We start from the raw sequence: 17,942 nt of genomic DNA on the forward strand, positions 1-17,942 counted from the left end.
TGGGTGGGGCCCAGGCTGTCGGGAGATGTATTAGCTCATTCTCACACTGCTAATAAAGACATATCCAAGACTGGGTAAAAGAAAAAGGTTTAATCGTCTCACAGTTCCACATGGCTGGAGAGGCCTCTCAATCATGGTGGAAGGTGAATGAGGAGCAAAGTCACATCCTACATGGTGGCAGGCAAAAGAGAGCATGTGCAGGGGAACTTCTCTTTATAAAATCATCAGATCTCATGAGACTTATTCAGCATCACGAGAACAGTATGGGAAAGACCTGCCCCCATGATACAATTACTTCCCACCAGGCCCCTCCCACGACACGTGGGAATTATGGGAGCTATCATTCAAGATGACATTTGGATGGAGACACAGCCAAACCATATCAGGAGATTAGATGGGCCCTTTCAGCACAGTCTGTCCTAGACAAAGAGACTTAAGGAAGACTCAGGGCCCCCCTTGGGTGTGGACATTCACTTGGGAGCAGAGTCCGGAAGCCAGCATGATGGGGGGGGGAGGATGCTCTAGATTGACGGTGTTTACCCAAAGTGCATGTGCTGAAATCCTAAACCTCAAGGTGATGCTATTAGGAGGCTGGGTTGTGCAGGGGTGATTAGGTCCCTTATAAAAGACCCTGGAGAGATCCCTCACCCCTTCTGCCATAGGAGGACACAGCAAGAAGGCGCCATCTATGAAAGAGTAAGAGGCCCTCACCAGAAACCAAATCTGTTTCAGCTACTTGATCCTGGACTTCCCAGCCTCCAGAACTGTAAGAAATAAACTTATGTTGTCCACGTGCCACGTGGTGTATGGCATTCTGCAATAGCGGCCCGAGCCAACTAAGAAAGTGGGGAGCCATGGTGAGTGAGGTGCCCAGGAGCCAGGAGTGTCTGCCCCAGGGGCTGCAGGTTCAGGCACTGCTCCACGGGGAGGCCTCCACTCCTTGCCAGTTTTGGCAGATCCAGGCTTGGGGCTACAGAGCAGCCTGCCAGACTGCCCCAGACCAGGCAGGAGCACACCTGCCACATGAGAACTGAGCAAGGATGATGCAGTTGCAGCCCACATCCAAAGCCCTCCTTCCAACACACCAAGCTGCACCCCACAGCCATTTTGTGGTTCAAGGTACAACTCACATTTTCAGGAACAGAGGGCAAGGCCTGGGGATCTACTGCCTTACTATAGAGAGAAATCTGCTTCCAATGCCTCACCTGTAGCCCAAAGCCCTCCTACCAGGACACCCCAAAAGTTGTGTCATAGCTGTGCTGCAGGCCTCAGTGACTCGGCTCAGGATGAACACAGGAGGGCTGGAACAGACCATCCCTGCTCCTCCCTCCTTCCCCCACTCCCCGCCCCATGAGTAGCCCTGGCCTTCTGCCAAGAGTCTGGCAGGGCCCAGGAAGGGAGGGTGCCCTTCTTTTGTTCTGCTAAAGTCCTGGGGTTTCTCCCCCATGGTGTCTGACTGCCCAACCTCCACGCGAGCATTTGGAGGCAGGGGGCACTTTGACCCACTTTGCTCATCCCAGCCTCCTACAAATGGCCTCCTGGTCATCAAGTGTGGAGGAAATCACACTTGGAGCCCAACTGGGAGCCCCAAATTCGGCTCCAGCTTGCTCTTGACATGGGGCAGGGAAAAGCAAGGTGGTATGAGGTGCCCAGGCAGGGAGACGGGGAGCCTCAGGTCTTTCTCTCGGCCGGCCTCCAAGGACCGTCAGACTTCTGAGTCTGGTTTCTCATCTCTAACTTGAGATGCCTGAACTAGACAGACCCCTATCCTAACACTCTGAATGAAACAATGTGTGATCCCAAGTCCAAAACCTTCAAGGTTGGGATCCTTAAATGACACTGAGCAAACCCACTGAGGAGTTTTTCCAGGTGCTGGGGTTACCCCGAGGGTTCGCCTGGCATCTCCCTCTACCAGGACGTGCAGAATGACTGGATGTTTGAGTGGGAAGGGCATGAGAGTGCATGTCATAGGGAAGGAAGCTGTGGCCCAGGGTCCCCAGGCTGCCTGGCTCCCCACTAAAGGCTCCCTCTGCCTTAGCAATTGGCCTTCTGCCGCCTGTAGGCTTAGCACCATCTCAGCGACAGCGATAACACCTGGAGTGAACAGGCCTCCTGCAAACTTTATGTTGCCCTGGAGATAACAGACCGTTCAGACAGACTCAAACACTTCCAGCCAAGGCAGAGGAGTAGGTCCCCAGCAACAGCAGGACTCATTTGCTTTTAGAGATAATGTTGCTGAGGCTGATTGAACTGTGCTCCAGTCTTTTGTCCAAACACGTGTATTTCTCATCTCTTAACTATGCCTGCATGTTTGGAGATAACACCTACGCAGGAGCCTTGGCAACTAGATCAGCCAGCAACCTGTGGGAGAAAAGTGGACTGCCACTAAGTGTCACCAGACAGAATGCCATCCCTTCAGAACACAGCTGTCTGCTCCAAACCCTGTGCCTCTCACACCAGCTCGTGGGGGAGCAGGTGAAGCAGCACAGCCTTGCAGGAAAGCAATTTTGCAAAAGGTGTCAGAGGCTTAGAAGCTTGCATCTCTTGCTTCCCCTTCGTTTTGTTTTGGGTAGCTCTCCTACAGGAATGACTCAAACCAGCCTCCACTGACAGAACACCAAGAACTCAGGGGACCCTACAAAGCTTCCTGGACAGGCTTTTCACCTATTCATAAGGAATTTTAAATTTAAGGAATATAAAAAGTACAAACAAAAATGTTACTACAATCCCATGATCACTGGGGTATTTCCTTCCAGGGGTGTTGCTTCTGTGAATGTATAAGTGCATTTCCAAATAATGAGGTGCTTACTCTGCGGCTTAGCACCTGATTTTAAAATATTTAATAGATAGCAAGCTTTTCTCAGTGCTGTTAAAAAGTAGCCTGTCATGTCAAGCCTTCTCTGATTGCTGGACATTCTATTGTTTCTTATCTTTCACTACATGATACAGCACACAGAAAGGCATTTTGTACAGAAATCTTACAATCAAGTATAGACTCCCCTGTCAGCTCTGAGCTTCTCCACATGCCTTTCCTTCTGAGTAGTGCTGCTTCCAGTTGCCATGGGCCGGGCCCATAGTAGGTGGTGTTGGATAATGCTTCCCAAATGACCCTGCTTCACTGATAAACATAGTGGCTTCCCTCTCATTGTGAAGTGAGTAAATGCATGTATCTGGCACAGCGTAAGCACTGAAGAAAATTCCAGCTGTTTTTTTTTTCTTTTTTTGAGACAGAGTCTCTGTCCCCCAGGCTGGAGTGCCGTGACGCAATCTTGGCTGACTGCGGAGGGTTCAAGCAATCCTGGTGCCTCAGCCTCCCGAGTGCTGGGACTCGAGGCACATGCCACCACGCCTGGCTAATTTTTGTATTTTTAGCAGAGACGGGGTTTCACCATGTTGGCCAGGCTGATCTCAAACTCCTGACCTCAAGTGATCCATCTACCTTGGCCTCCCAAAGTGCTGGGATTACAGACGTGAGCCACCATGCCCAGCCGAAAATGCCAGCTTTAATAAAGATGAAGCTAAGGATAAGGACCATCCCCACGCTCAGAGCAGAGCAGGGAAGACAAAGAAAAACAGATGGTTCTAGGTACTGGTCCTCCCGGAGGAGGGTACAGCAGCCTGCTTCTTACCTGAACTGTGTTTCTTAAATATTTCTAAAAATACTGCCAGGTGTCTGCTTACCCCTGTCTGCAGAAGGAAGTTTGCATATTTGCACAGGAATATAAGCATTTGTTAATTGGTTTCTGTGTTGATATATACAAATGTTATAGATCCCTGGGTCAATAGTTCTGCCTGGGGAAAGGTGGAGGAAGTACAATCAGGTGATAAAGTACTGTGCCCAAGATGCAGAACTTGCTTCCACCGGTGCCCAGAGAATTGGCAGGGGACCATGGTCTGCCTGACTGCCCCTTTCCTTCTCACTCTCCCTCCCTTCCTCCCTCCCTCTTTCTCTCTCTCTCCCTCTCTTTCTCTCTTTTTATTGAGCTTAATTTGCAATATACTGTCCTGCTTTCTTTTCTTTTTTTTTTTTTTTGAGATGGAATCTCGCTCTGTCGCCTAAGCTGGAGTGCAGTGGCATGATCTCGGCTCACTGCAACCTCCTCCCTCCAAATTCAAGCATTTCTCTGCCTCAGCTTCCCGAGTAGCTGGGATTACAGACGCCCACCACCACGCCTGGCTAATTTTTTGTATTTGTAGTAGAGATGGTGTTTCACCATGTTGGCCAGGCAGGTCTTGAACTCCTGACCTCATGATCCACCCTCCTCGGCCTCCCAAAGTGCTGGGATTACAGGTGTGAGCCACCATGCCCGGCCTGTCCTGCTTTCTTACATAGAGGCAGACAAGCCCCATTCCCCTAGGCCCTAAAGTCTAGTTTCCATGCTTTGTATGGAGAGCTATTTTTTTCATGCTGTTGCTGGAGCCCTCTGGAGTCTTGATTGGCTGCATCGTGGGGAAGGTGGGCTCGCTGGCCTAGCACCTCCCTGGTCCCCTGTTGGAGGCTAGCTCACCTTCAAGCTCCAATATCTGTTCTTCACGGTGGAAACCAATTTACTGTGCTCTCAGGGGGCATTATTCTGGGCCAGGCACTGTGCCAGCTGCCCAGGAGATAACAACCTACACCCTTTGTTTGCCGGGGTTACAGCCAGGTGAAAAGATGGAGACTCTCTTGCATCCTTCCAGCTCTAAGATTCCCTAAGTGCCCAACAGGAACAAGGCAAAGTGCAAAAGCCAGGGATGCAGACACGAAACAAGGGAGGCAGGAAAAGTTTTCAGAGAAGGTAAACTTGGAATTGGAAAGCATGAGATTCGGAAGGCATTGAGCTGGGCACAGTGTGGCATATGTGAGGACCCAAAAATAAGGAGTCTGTGGATTCAAGCATGGGGTGGGAGTGAGGGGGTGCTGGAACAAGCAGGAGAGGAAGGCCAGCCAGGGGGAAGCTGTGAATGGCCAGGGGCCATGTGAAAGCACGGGGACCCCATCCTGCAGAGGGCAGGAACCGCTGAGTGGGAGAGTCAAGGTCAGATGTGAGACGTTGTCCAGAGAAAGGATCGCTGGACAAAAGGCCTGGTGGCAGAGATGTCATTGAGGGAGGTTCTTGACATAGTCCAAGCTAAAGGAACAAGTCTGAATCAGATGCCCCTAACTAGGCAATTCAGTGGTTCACAATAGGAATAACTGTGATGGAAAATCCAGCTGGAATCTGAGAAGGACCATATTTTGCTTTGGACTTGCACTTGAGGTATGTGTGGAACACGCCGTGGAGGCGTCCAGCCTGCAGGTAGACGGAGACTGGAGAAGGTGTGAGTCTGGGAACGGGGCACAGTTGCAATTGCTTATGGAGGGTGTTGGGGGCAGGACACAAAAGCTACAGCAGAACCAGGAAAGCCTGGCATATGAGGGACAGAGGACCTAGCTGGAGTCAGGCCATGGGAGCTAAGGGAAGAGGAGATTTCAGGGAGGTGATGTCAAGAATGAAGCTGCAAAGATCAAGTATTGCAAGGACCCAAATCGCATGGCAAGACCATGCCACTTGTGCTTTTTTTTTTTTTTTTTTTTGAGACAGAGTTTTGCTCTTAGTGCCCAGGCTGGAGTGCAATGGTGCGATCTCGGCTCACTGCAACCTCCGCCTCCTGGGTTCAAGTGATTCTCCTGCCTCAGCCTCTCAAGTAGCTGGGATTACAGTTGTCCACCATCACATTCAGCTAATTTTTTATCTTTAGTAGAGATGGGCTTTTATGCAGAGCAGCTTCAGCAGTCACAGAAGTGAAAATGCCTGTCAGCTGAGAAGCAAAGAGAAAGTGAGAGTGTGGTGGCCAGGAGTGTAGAACACTCTTGTGGGGCTTGGCTCTGAGGGGAAGAAGGTCCAGAACAGGGGCTGGCAAAGTCGTGGGGAGTATTTTTCCTAATGGGGGCCTTCGCTGCAGTTTGTAGCTGCAGTGGCAGAGCCTGTAGAGGAAGAGAGGATGAAGATGACCTTGAGGATGCCATCCTGGAAGGCTGGGGAACCGTGATGTCATTACTTATGGGATAAACTCTCCCCAGAGGAGGAATCCTCACGTGCTTTGCATTTGTTCCTTCCCCCAGGCTCAGTCACTTTGACACTCCCCAGTCCTGAGTGTGGGGCCAGTTCAGGCAAGGCAGGAGGGAGGAGGAGGCCCAGAGCCCCATGGAAAATTTTCCTAGGGAGGCCCAAGCCTGACACTGGGAGACAGGTCAGCAACACAGGACACAGGGCTGCACCCAGGCCAGCACGGGGCCCAGAGTGGCAGGCTGGCAACCTGTGTCCCCCTCAACTCATCTCACATTTTTTCTCAACAGTTTGGACATTTATGGCTTTTTATCTAGTACCATATGCCCGTCGATGGGAGCAATGAGGCTGCTGGTCTGGCTTTTAATAGCACAGCTCAGATGTGGACATGGCTAATACTAACTTAGATGAGGAAATTAACTGGAAGAGCCATGGAATCAAGCTTGGCCTGTGTAGGACAGTCCTCTTAAAATGAGATTATGATTTTAACAAAAATCACGCAGCACCTGCCATGTACTGGATATTCTACTCGGTCCTGATGCTGGCTTTGCTGGCAGATCTCTACTTCATTCCATGGAGAGGTTGGAGGGCCTTAAAATTACTCTATTTCCCACAAAGATAAATCATAGACTCAAAAAATAACAGATGCTGGTAAGGTTGTAGAGAAAAAGGAATGCTTATACACTGTTGATGGGAGTGTAAATTAATTCAATCATTGTGGAAAACAGTGAGGTAATTCCCCCAAAGACCTAAAAACGGAACTACCATTCAACCCAGAAATCCCACTACTGGGTATATACGCAAAGGAATATAAATCGTTCTACCATAAAGACACATGCATGCACATGTTCATTGCATCACTATTCACAATAGCAAAGACATGGAATCAACCTAAATGCCCATCAATGGTAGATTGGATAAAGAAGATGTGGTACATATACACTATGGAATACTATGCAGCCATAAAAAAGAATGAGATCATGTCCTTTACAGGAACATGATCTCGTTCTTTTTTATGGCTGCATAGTATTCCATAGTGTAGGCTAGAGCTGGAGGCCATTATCCTTAGCAAATTAGCACAGGAACAGAAAACAAAATACCACATGTTCTCACTTATAAGTGGGAGCTAAATGATGAGAGCCCATGGGCAGAAAGAGGGGAATGACAGACACTGGGGCCTACTTGAGTATGGAGAGTAGGATGAGGGAGAGGATCAGAAAAATAACTGTTGGGTACTAGGCTCAGTACCTGAGTGATTAAATAATCTGTGCAACAAATCCCCATGACACAAGTTTACCTATGTAACAAACCTGCACATGTACCCTGAAACCTAAAATAAAAGATTTTAAAAAATAAATAAAAATGTTTAAATAAAATAAAAAATAAATTTTAAAACTTAAATTAACTTTTAAAAAAACCATGGACTCTTAGAAGAGCACAAATTCTTGAAAATATTCTGGTTCAAACCCTTCATTTGACTACTATGGAATCTGAGACTCAAAGAGAGTTAGCGACTTCCAGACCTCTCTGTGTAGGTGGCAGATCCATTGAACTATCAGAAGAGAGCTGCCATCATCTGACAAGGCTTCTGTGGGGCCCAGGCACCTCTTTCGGACAAGTGTGGGGCTTGGACCAGAGCCCCCATAGCTTCTGGGTGGTGGGGGGCAGGCATGGGTAATGCATTGTAGGGGATGATCTGGGCGGCGAGAGGAGGACTAGAAGTAGGTGGTAGGCACAGCAAACAGAGGCAACTTTCAACATCCCTTAAGGTGCCTGCCTTCCTCAGAACTCCGCCTCCCTTTAGCAAGCTGAAGAGAGTGAGAGCAGCCTCCCTTTAGCAAGCTGAAGCAAAAGGCTTTGGAAATGATCTTGGGGCCGCAAACTCCTTGAGCAAACAAGGGAAAAGTACTTAGCAGCCCATACACTTCCTGCTAGATCAGAGTTCATCAGGGAAAATCCACAGAGATAATCTCAGGAACAAGTGTTCTGACCCTTCCAGGGCAGCGCACTGGGACCTAGCCGGGCTGATGTCAGACTCCAGGAGAGCGACCCCGGACCTTGGGCTTATATGATCAAGGAAGCACAGCCCCTGGCCTGGTGGGATCAGAGCTTGATCTGATCGTAGTGGGGTATGGCAGAACTCTGGCCATCAGCCCTTCTCTTCCAGCTCAAGGGGGAGGCAGGTGGGGTTGCAGGGAGCAGCAGCCCCACTCCAGCATGATCAGGAGCTGGGGTTCCAGTCTATGACACAGCAGCATCCTACCAGTGTTGATCATCTTCAGATTCAGCCAAAACCAGCTTCCTTGGAGCTCTGCAGGAGACGAACTTTGTGAGGCCAGCCTGCCGAGAATAGGGAAACCAGGAATCGGCTGAAGTTTGGCAGTGGCTTACAAAACTAAACACACCATTGCCATACAATCCAGCAAAAGTACTCCTTGATATTTACCCAAAGGAGTTGAAAGCTTATGTTCACATAAAAACCTGCACATGGATGTTTACAGCAGTAGCTTTATTCATCATTGCCAAAACTTGGAAGCAACCAAGATGTCCTCGAGTAGGTGAGTGGATAAATAAATTTTGGCACATCCAGACAATGGAATATCACTCAGCTCTAAAAAGAAATGAGCTGTCAAGCCATGAAAAGAAATGGAGGAACTTTAAATGCTTATTATTAAGTGAAAAAAGCCAATATGAAAGACAACATACAGTATTATTCCAACTACATGGCTTTCCGGAAAAGGCAAAACTACGGGGATGGTAAAAAGATCGGTGGTTGCCAGGGTTTAACAGGAAAGGAGGTGATAAATAGGTAAGACACAGAGGATTTTTAGGGCCATGAAACTATTCTGTGTGATACTATAATGGTGGTTACGTGTCATGATGCATTTGTCCAAATCCATAGAATGTACAACACCAAGAGCAAACCCCGAACCATGGAGTCTGGCATCAACTGTAACAAACACACCACTCTAGTGGACAGTGTAGCTAACGGGGAGGCTGTGCATGTTTGGGGCCCAGGAAGGATACGGGAAGTCCTTCTTGGCCTTCCAGAAACTGGACTCCTGGCCCATCTTTTCATCTCTTTGGAGAAACAAACAACAAACAATAATCTCGTCATAATTAAAATTCACTGTGATATAAAGCTACTCTAAAAATAGTACAATTAAAATTAAAATTTATTTCATTTCTTGAGCTGACATTTCAGACAGCCCAGTGGCCTCCCACTAAACTCGAAGGTAATGAGTCTCTGCTCAGTCTCACCTCCTGGGCTTCTGTTCCAGTGTGAGTCTGAGCTCCATTCAACTCTTCCTGGGCCTTTTCAGCTCTAGGTGTAAAGGTTCAATGTGAACTCGTAGAAAGAAGACAGGCTTTTCAGTCAACAGATCTGAATTCTTATAAGGACTGTCTCATAGTCCTTGGTCTCAGTTTCCATATTTGTACAGTGAGGATCATGGTACAGCGTTAGGGCTGGACAGAAAGCCCTCAGACTGGCTTAGGACAGATGGAGTGGTCATTTGGGTTCTTTCTACTCCATTTCACTGTGACTATAAAGCTGCTCTAAAAAATAGTGAGAGTAAAACGAAAAGATTGATGTTGATTTTCATACTTTAACCCAATATATCTAAAATATTGCTATTTCAACATATAATCAATATACAAAATTATTAATGAGACACTTCACATTCTTTGTAGGGGCTGTCTTTGAAATTCAATGTGTAATTTACACTTGGCACATCTCAATTTGTGCCAGTTCTATTTCACGTGCTCAGAAGTCACATGTGGCCCATGGCCACCACACTGGACAGCTATGGTTTCATTGTCCAACCCCACCTTGGAACCCAAATCCTTGGAACCCATGATCCTCACTGTACAAACATGGAAACTGAGACCAAGGACTATGAGACAGTGCGTGTAAGAATTCAGATCTGTTGACTGAAAAGCCTGTCTTCTTTCTACGAGTTCACACTGAACCTTTACACCTAGAGCTGAAAAGGCCCGGGAAGAGTTGAATGGAGCTCAGACTCATGCTGGAACAGAAGCCCGGGAGGTGAGACTGAGCAGAGACTCATCACCTTCAAGTTTAGTGGGAGGCCCCTGGCTGTCTGAAATGTCAGCTCAAGAAATGAAATAAATTTTAATTTTAATTGTACTATTTTTAGAGTAGCTTTATATCACAGTGAATTTTAATTATGACGAGATTATTGTTTGTTGTTTGTTTCTCCAAAGAGATGAAAAGATGGGCCAGGAGTCCAGTTTCTGGAAGGCCAAGAATCGAAGTAGCAAGCTGCAGCCGTTTTCCAGACAAGCAGGATGTGGGGATGCAGAAGAATTCAGGACTGGAGGGGCAAACTCCGTAAGCAGGGGCTGTCACGATTCCCATCTCCCTCTATAAACCTCTCTCTTTTCATGTCATACTGTTCCATGTTATATGTAACTGTTTTAAAGCTACATACTGGACAAAAAGTGGAATAGACTCCAGCCTCTGAATTGTTAAATAAGCTGATGACAAACCTTCACATTTTCTCCATCAGGATGTGACTGAGGCCCCACTGCCAAATGGCAGCATGCTCAGATAGCACCCAGGAATTTGGGGAAAAAAACTGGTGCTCACAGCTGCCCAGTTAAGGCACAAGTCTCCCGCCTGCTGCAGGTATGTGGGTGGGACAAGTGGGTCAGTCCACAGAACAAAAGGTATGTAAAGGAGGCCTTCTTTTTGGGAAATCCTTTGTAGATCCACCACCCACACCTTAGTCACAAGCCCAGAAGGGGCTGAAAATGACATTTCCAAGGGGCACAGGCTGCCAGCCATCACAAAGCACACTATCTGGTGGGGGAGATATGGCTATCGCAGAGTTTTCACCCACGAGCTGGAGTTCTTTGTTCTGAATGCATGCCCTGCTTTCAGTATGGTTTCCTTGGCAGTCAAAAAGATGCTAATCAAATGCCCCATTGATAGCTTTATGAATGAAAGGATGTGTATTTTAAGAGAGCTTTTTGCCGGCACCCAATTACACTGATAAACTTTTCGCAGTCTGACAGGAATTAGTTTCAAATAAGTGGTGACATTTAAACAACAACAAACCTCAAGGCCATGATTAAGCAGCCACACTCTCAAGCACCCTCCTGCTCCACCGATCATTGTCAAGTCCCCTTGCAGATGCCTGTTTGGCTGCCCAGGCCGGGAGTGCTGGCTACTGCCGGCTAAGCAGACATCTTGCTCTGCTCCTCGGACCCTTTCCCAATATCTCCTCTGGACCTGGGAGCCCCATTCCGGTCTGTCTGTATTTGCAGGGGTTGTGAGGTGTATCAGAACCTTGAAGAGATACTCTGGGAAGAAAGGCCTTCCCAGACTGCCTCTCCGCAGCGCTGTAAGAATCAGATTTCTTCTATGGGGGACTTCCAGGTCTCTTCAGCATTTTCTCAGTCATCACTGTATCCCTGCCACTCAGTGAACCACAGCAACAACTCCCAGCTTCCAGCCGAGAAGCTTGACCCTGAAGCTGGCCTCGATTCTCTACAGAAGTGAGGCCACAGAGCACAGGTGAAGGGCCACTTACCTGGTATCATCTCTGGTCTCAGCTCTGGAGAACTAGCTCCTCTGCCACTGCCACATCCTGTCCACCAAGACCTCCTTGCTGAACCCCACCCCCACCCGGTGCCTCAGGACCCTAACTTGTTTGCTGACCTCCATGTCCTCTCACCAGATCCAGCCCTGGGGAGCTGAACTTCCTCTGGCCCACTGCCAGCTCTGGATCAGTCCACACCCCAGCCAGCCACAGCCCAGCCCTGCCTCTCTCTGTCTCTCTCTCATGGCTGGGTTGGCCTTGGCCAATGCTCTCTCTAGAGATCAAGACACAGGCACCTCTCTTGGTCTGTTCTGGCTGCTGTGACAAAATGCCTTAAGCTGGGTGGCTTATAAACCACAGAAATTTATTTCTCACTGTTCTGGAGGCTGGGAAGTCCTACAGACTGGGGTACTGGCCTGCTTGTTTCCTCGTGAGGGCTCTCTTCCTGGGTTGCAGATGGACATCTCCCTGATGTATCTTCACATGGCAGAGAGAGAGAGAGAGAGAGACAGAAAGACAGAGAAAGAGAGAGAGAGAGAGAGAGAGCATGCTCTTTGGTCTCTTCTGGTAAGGGCCTAATCCCGTCATGAAGAATCCCCATAACTTCAACTAAATCTAATCACTTCTCAAAGGCTCCATCTCCACATACCATCCCATTGTGGGTTAGGGTTTCAACATAGGAATTCTGGAGGCACACAAACGTGCAGTTCAAAACATGTGGAGACAAGGGGGCAAGGACTAGAGAGCCCTACCATCCTCGTTCAAACCCTTGAATCAAGCCTGAAGTCAAAGAACTTCCTTTGGAGAGCCCCATTCCATGAGCCGATAATTTCCCCATTTTGCCATCACCCACTTGAGTTTGGGATTTTCCCCCAGTTACTGAGTGCCTGACTGACATGATGCCCCCCACAGATGGGCCTCCCTGCCCCCAATCTCACCTCCTCTGTTAGTTTCCTGGGGTTGCCACAACAAAGCGTTACAGGCAGAGCGGCTAAAACGACAGAAACTTATGGTCTCACAGTTCTGGAGGCTGCAAGTTCAAGGTCAAGGTGTCAGCAGGGTTGGTTCCTTCGGAAGGCTGTGCAGGAGCCTGTTGGGTGCCTGTCCCTCAGCTTCTAGTGGATTACTTCCATCTTCAGCATGCCTTGGCTTGTAGAAGGACTACCCTGAACTCTGCCTTCATGGTCACAACACATCCTCCCTGTGTGTGTTTCTGTGTCCAAATTTCCCCTTCTTATAAGGACACCAGTCTTATACGGACAATGCTCAATGTATGAACCTTTGCCAAGGGATTGGATTAGGGACCCACTATATTCCAGTATGACCTCATCTTAACTAATTATACCTGCAATGACACTGCTTCCAAAGAAGGCCACATGATGAGGTACCGTTGGTTAGGAATTCAATATATGAGTTTGGGGGGACACAGTTCAGCCCACACCACCTCCTCTGACCCTGAATTGGATGCTGTTTCTGCTCTGCTTATGATCCTCTTGTCCTCACTGGCCTCTTGGTCCAGCACCCACTGAGGCACCAGCTCTGAGAGAGCTCACTGGCTTCACACAGGTGCGACCTGATGGCGCCTCACCTCATACCCCAAACATCCTTCTCATCTCTGCAGGACCTGCTCTGTTTATGTCCAGGTATGTTCAGTGTTCCTGTGTGTCCCCAGAGTGTGGGGAGGTAATGCTCCATGTACGAACCTTTGCCAAGGGAATATGGAAACCGATGGATGAGTTCTTACCTCTTTTTTCGTCCAGACAAACTGTCCTAAGATGGTTTTAAGAGATACCGAGTAATCAGCTGCCAGCTCAGTAGCGCATCTTCAGATTGACTCTCCCTCCTTCCCTGTCTCCTTCCCCATATTCTTCATCTTGTTCCCTGGGATCTTTCTCCCTAATAAAGGAAAAGCTCATAGACCTCTGCCCCAGCTTCTGCTTTCTGGGGAATGCAGGCCAATCCAGCCACACTACTCTCCCTCCATGTAACCTGACCATGCCATCCCCCTGCTTAAAAGCTTTCAGTGCTTCTCCATTGCCCATAAAGCTCATACTTTCTAGCTATGAGCTTCAAGGCCACTTGGAGGTCATCTGGCCAACTGTCCTTCCTGCTACAACAGTCTAAGTCATAGGCTTTGGAAGATAACTGATTGGGTTTCATCTTTGGCTCTTATTGAAAATGTGGAAAAAATTATTTCACCTCTATAAGCTTCAGTTTCTTCATCTATCTGATCTCAGGATTGAGGGAAGGCAATGTATATAAAGCATCTGGCACAGTGGTTGGGGCACTAAATACATGGCAGCCAGTGTTTATTATTACAAACCAGGAAACCAGGATGCAAAGGGAGCTGCTTCAGCTCCCTTTCAGTCAGCAGACAACGGCTGTCAAACTTGGGACCAAACAGCTACAAAACCAGATGCCCGCTCTCCACAAATAAGAGGCTGAAGTGCAGCTCTCCACTGATGAACTATAACAGTTGGAAATTCACTTGTACTATGGATATTTCTTCTGCACCTCTCGTGAACAGCCTGTTCTTGCTGAGGGCTGGACAGTAAATAAAACATCTACAGTGCCTACTTCCATGGGGTTCATGTTCTAATGAGGGAGTGGAGACCCTCAACAAAGAACCAGCCAATGTGCTAAGTCCTGTGGCAGAAACTGGGCAGAAAAGGGAAGAGAGAGGGAGGATGGTTATATTTTTACAGGATGGTTAAAAAATTAGTCTTCTGTTTTTTGAGACAGGCTTTCACTCTGTTGCCCAGGCTGGTGTGCAACGGTGTGATCATGGCTCACTGCAGCCTTGACCTTCTGTGCTTAGTCAATCCTCCCACCTCAGCCTCCCAAGTAGCTCAGAATACAGGCTTGTGCCACCATGCCCAGCTGATTTTTGTAATTTTTGTAGAGAGAGATGGGGTTTCACTATGTTGTCTAGACTGGTCTCAAATTCCTGGGCTCAAGTGATCTGCCTGCTTTGGCCTCCCGAAGTGCTGGGATTACAGGCACAAACCACCATGCCCAGCCAGGAAATTAATCTTCTAATAAAGGTTCACTTAAGGTGAAGGGAGCAAGGGAGAAAGTTGATATCAAGGGGTGGCATTCCAAGCAGCAAGAGTAGGAAGTAGAAAGGCCTGAGGCGGGAAAGGTCTTAGCCTGTTCAAAAGATAGCAGAGAAGCAAGCACTGCTGAAGAGGAGTGGGTGAGGGGAAGGGTAGTGGGAAGTGAGGCCAGAGAGGGGTGGATGATCTGCAGACACAGGTGGAGACTGTGACTGTGAAATTTGCCCTGAATATGATGGAAAGCCACTGGAGGGTTGAACAAAGTTGTAGAGGCACCTGACTAGTTTCAGTGGATCACTCTGGCTGAATGAGGCCAGAAAGGAGGCCTCTGCCATGATCTCAGTAGGGAGGACAGTGGCTTGAACCTGAAGGCAGAGCCTGGAGGCAGTGAGAAGTGGTCATTCTGAGAACATTTTGAAGGCACAGCTTACAGAACTCACCGATAGATTGGATGAGGGTTGTGAATAGGAGGTGATCCCAAAGACTGTGGCCCAAGCAAATGAAAAGCAGGACTTGCCCTTTTCTGAAAAGGAGGACACTGAGGAAGGAGGTAGCAGGGACAAATCTGGAGTTTGCTTTTAAATGTGCCAAGCTTGAGATGCTGACTGGTGTCTAGGAAACACAAAGCATGCCTGGACACCCAAATCTGGAGGTCAGGGAGAAGTTCAGACTGGAGATACACTGGGGAACATTAGAGTATTTGTGGCATTTAGCACCAGAAAACTGGGTGAGCTCACCAGGGGAATGAGAGGACCTCCAGGGCTCCTTGGGGATGCTCCAGTGTCCCAAAATCAGGGCAACAAGAGTCCAAGAAAAGAGATGGGGAAGAAGAGCCCAATGAGGCAGGGAGAACCATGACCATTATGCCCTGAAAAAGCCACATGCAGGAGTCTCAAGGAGAAGGGAGTGACCAACTGCCCAATACAGCTGACGACCATATCAGACAAGACTGAGAACTGGCCACAGGATTTGGCAACATGGCAAGAGCTATATGAATGGACTGGTGAGCACATAAGAGGAGAGGAAGTGGAAGCTTCAGGATTAGACAGGGGGCCAGGCACAGTATCCCATGCCAATCCCAGCACTTTGGGAGGCCGAGACAGAAGGATCACTTGAGGCCAGGAGTTCAAGACCAGCCTGGGCAACAGAGAGAGACCTCATCTCTACAAAAAAGGAAAAAAAAAAGGAAAATCAGCCTGGACAACATAGGGAGACCCAGTCTCTATCAAAAAAAGAAAAAAAAAGATTTAATTTTTTAATTAGCTGGACATGGTGGTATGCACCTGTGGTGCTAGCTATTCAAGAGGCTGAGGTGAGATGATCACTTGAGCCCAGGAGTTCGAGTTGCAGTGAGCTATGTTCATGCCACTGCATTCCAGCCTGGGTGACAGAGCAAGACCCTGTCTCTAAAAGAACAAAAAAAAAAAAGAGAGAGAGAGAAAGAGGCTAGACAAGTCTCTGGAGGAGTTTTGTGCAAAAAGGAGCAGAGAACACTGATGGTGTGAGAGTGATGTTCTTCAGGAGATGACAGTGAATGGGATCTGGGGACAATGGAGGTCTTTGGGGCTGTTAGCTTGTTTGTTCTTCTCTGGCCATTCCAGCACTCAGGGTCACCTTCCCCTCCAGGCCCCTCCACTCCAGTGACTCCTTTGGTGACTTATCCACTCATGCATTCTGAGTCTTTCCTGTATCACCTCCTGACCCCTCCAGTGGCTCAGTCACTATCTAGCTGTGTGACCTTGGATGAGTCACTTAACCTCACAAGAAGCAGCAATCAGTGAGTCCGGTGACTTCAGTTTCTTCCAGTATCAGGGTGGACAGAGAGTCACAGTGGTAGGACCTGGGGGTGTTTCTCTAAGGTATGTGGAAATTTAGGCTCCCCTTTGATCTCAGATTCATGGAGAACCCAGAACTGGTTATTAGAAAACTCTTGCGGAGTGAATAGGTAAGCTTCTTTCATATTAATTCTTCACTTGGCAAATGCTTAAGTGCCTGCTCTATCCAAGGGTGTGTCAGAGGTTTTGCAAGGGTGGAGGATGAGCCTCTTGGATTTTACCCTCAAAGAGCTCATAACCTTGTGGGGTGGTGGGTGTGTCTATTCAAAACCATAACAGGGCAGACTCTCTGGCACATCATTTTGTGTTCATCTTTAGGACCAGTTGTCACAGTTGCACACACAAATTAAAGTTCCACAGGAGGTGGGATGTTTTCGGTCTTGTACTCTATGTGCCTGACACATCGTAAGCAGTCAGTACATGTTTGTTGAATGAAAGCAGTATTGAATGGTACCATTTAATTTGTGTTTTGAAGCAAGGGTGGGATTTGGACCTACACAGATGGGCGAGGGGGCGCATTGCAGACTGGCGGGGGTTGGGGTGGCTGGAGGCAGGAGGAGGGAATGGCGGGAGCAGATGTACAGAGACAGTGACACCCAAGGCATGGTTGGTAATTGCAGGCCGACTGTGACTGGATCGTGTGATATGTCAGGATGCAAAGAGACTGAAAAAGTAAGTTGGGGCCAGATGGTGGAGAGGGTTGAATTCAAGCTATGTTAAAGGGATCAGATTTATCTATAGTAGGATGATCTCATGTTCCCATTTCCCAGGGTAGTTTTGCCTGTTGTCCCAGGGTGATTATTCATGGTGGCCCCTTTCATGCTCAAGTATCCCTGTTTGGATAAGTTATGTGGTCCTGCAACCCTAAAGGCTTTGTGGAACCCCCAAAGGTTTCACAGAGGGACAGGGTCAGGCTAGCCTTGAATGGTCAGTGCCCACAGTGTTTGCTGGACCTGGAGGCAGGAGCTGGGACACCCTCCAGTCTGGGCGATACAGGTCAAAGTCTTTTGGTTAATGGTAAATCACCAACAGTGGCCAGGGTACGGTGAAATGGGCACTCTTCAGGGAGTGCCCTGAAATTGTTCCAGACCTTTTTTGGAAATCAACTTTGCAGCACACGTCAAGAGCCTTGAAAACTGTCCATGCCCTTTGTTAATTCCACTTCTGGAAATCTCTCCTAAGGAAATAATTCCAAATATAGAAAAGGTTCTTTGCATAGACGTTCATCATAAAACTCTATGCAACAGGTCTAGAGACAGCTCAGAATGCCACAACAGATGATATTAAGGACATAGGATATATCTATCAATGGACTCTAAGTTCCATAGAACAGGGACAATGTCTGATTACAACCACTGTATCCCCACAGCTAACATAGTGTCTGACATATTTAATGAATAAACAAGTGAATAAAAATTTATATCAGGTTAAACAAAAAAGATATAAAACAATCCT

At 48.0% G+C, this 17,942-nt stretch overlaps 1 long non-coding RNA gene across 1 annotated transcript in view, besides 2 other annotated features; it reads left to right on the forward strand.

Annotated features, from left to right (window-relative positions):
• LINC00842 (long intergenic non-protein coding RNA 842) overlaps positions 1–13,515 on the forward strand; it is a 54,945-nt gene extending 41,430 nt beyond the window's left edge. Inside the window, exons 2-4 of the long non-coding RNA NR_033957.2 lie at positions 10,257–10,383; positions 10,562–10,680; positions 11,322–13,515. This is a non-coding gene — a long non-coding RNA (long intergenic non-protein coding RNA 842). The remainder of the gene's footprint in view (positions 1–10,256; positions 10,384–10,561; positions 10,681–11,321) is intronic.
• Positions 1,415–2,371: an enhancer, noted in NCBI's record as "H3K27ac-H3K4me1 hESC enhancer chr10:47107598-47108554 (GRCh37/hg19 assembly coordinates)". NCBI's record gives its function as "activates a minimal SCP1, AML or CMV promoter by ChIP-STARR-seq in primed H9 embryonic stem cells {active_cell/tissue: H9 hESC(primed)}" and the evidence as "EXISTENCE:reporter gene assay evidence [ECO:0000049][PMID:30033119]".
• Positions 7,570–8,070: an enhancer, noted in NCBI's record as "H3K27ac hESC enhancer chr10:47101901-47102401 (GRCh37/hg19 assembly coordinates)". NCBI's record gives its function as "activates a minimal SCP1, AML or CMV promoter by ChIP-STARR-seq in primed H9 embryonic stem cells {active_cell/tissue: H9 hESC(primed)}" and the evidence as "EXISTENCE:reporter gene assay evidence [ECO:0000049][PMID:30033119]".
• Positions 13,516–17,942: the final 4,427 nt, after the last annotated feature.

The sequence above is a fragment of the Homo sapiens genome, chromosome 10, assembly GCF_000001405.40.
Source record: "Homo sapiens chromosome 10, GRCh38.p14 Primary Assembly".
NCBI classification, from domain to species: domain Eukaryota; kingdom Metazoa; phylum Chordata; class Mammalia; order Primates; family Hominidae; genus Homo; species Homo sapiens.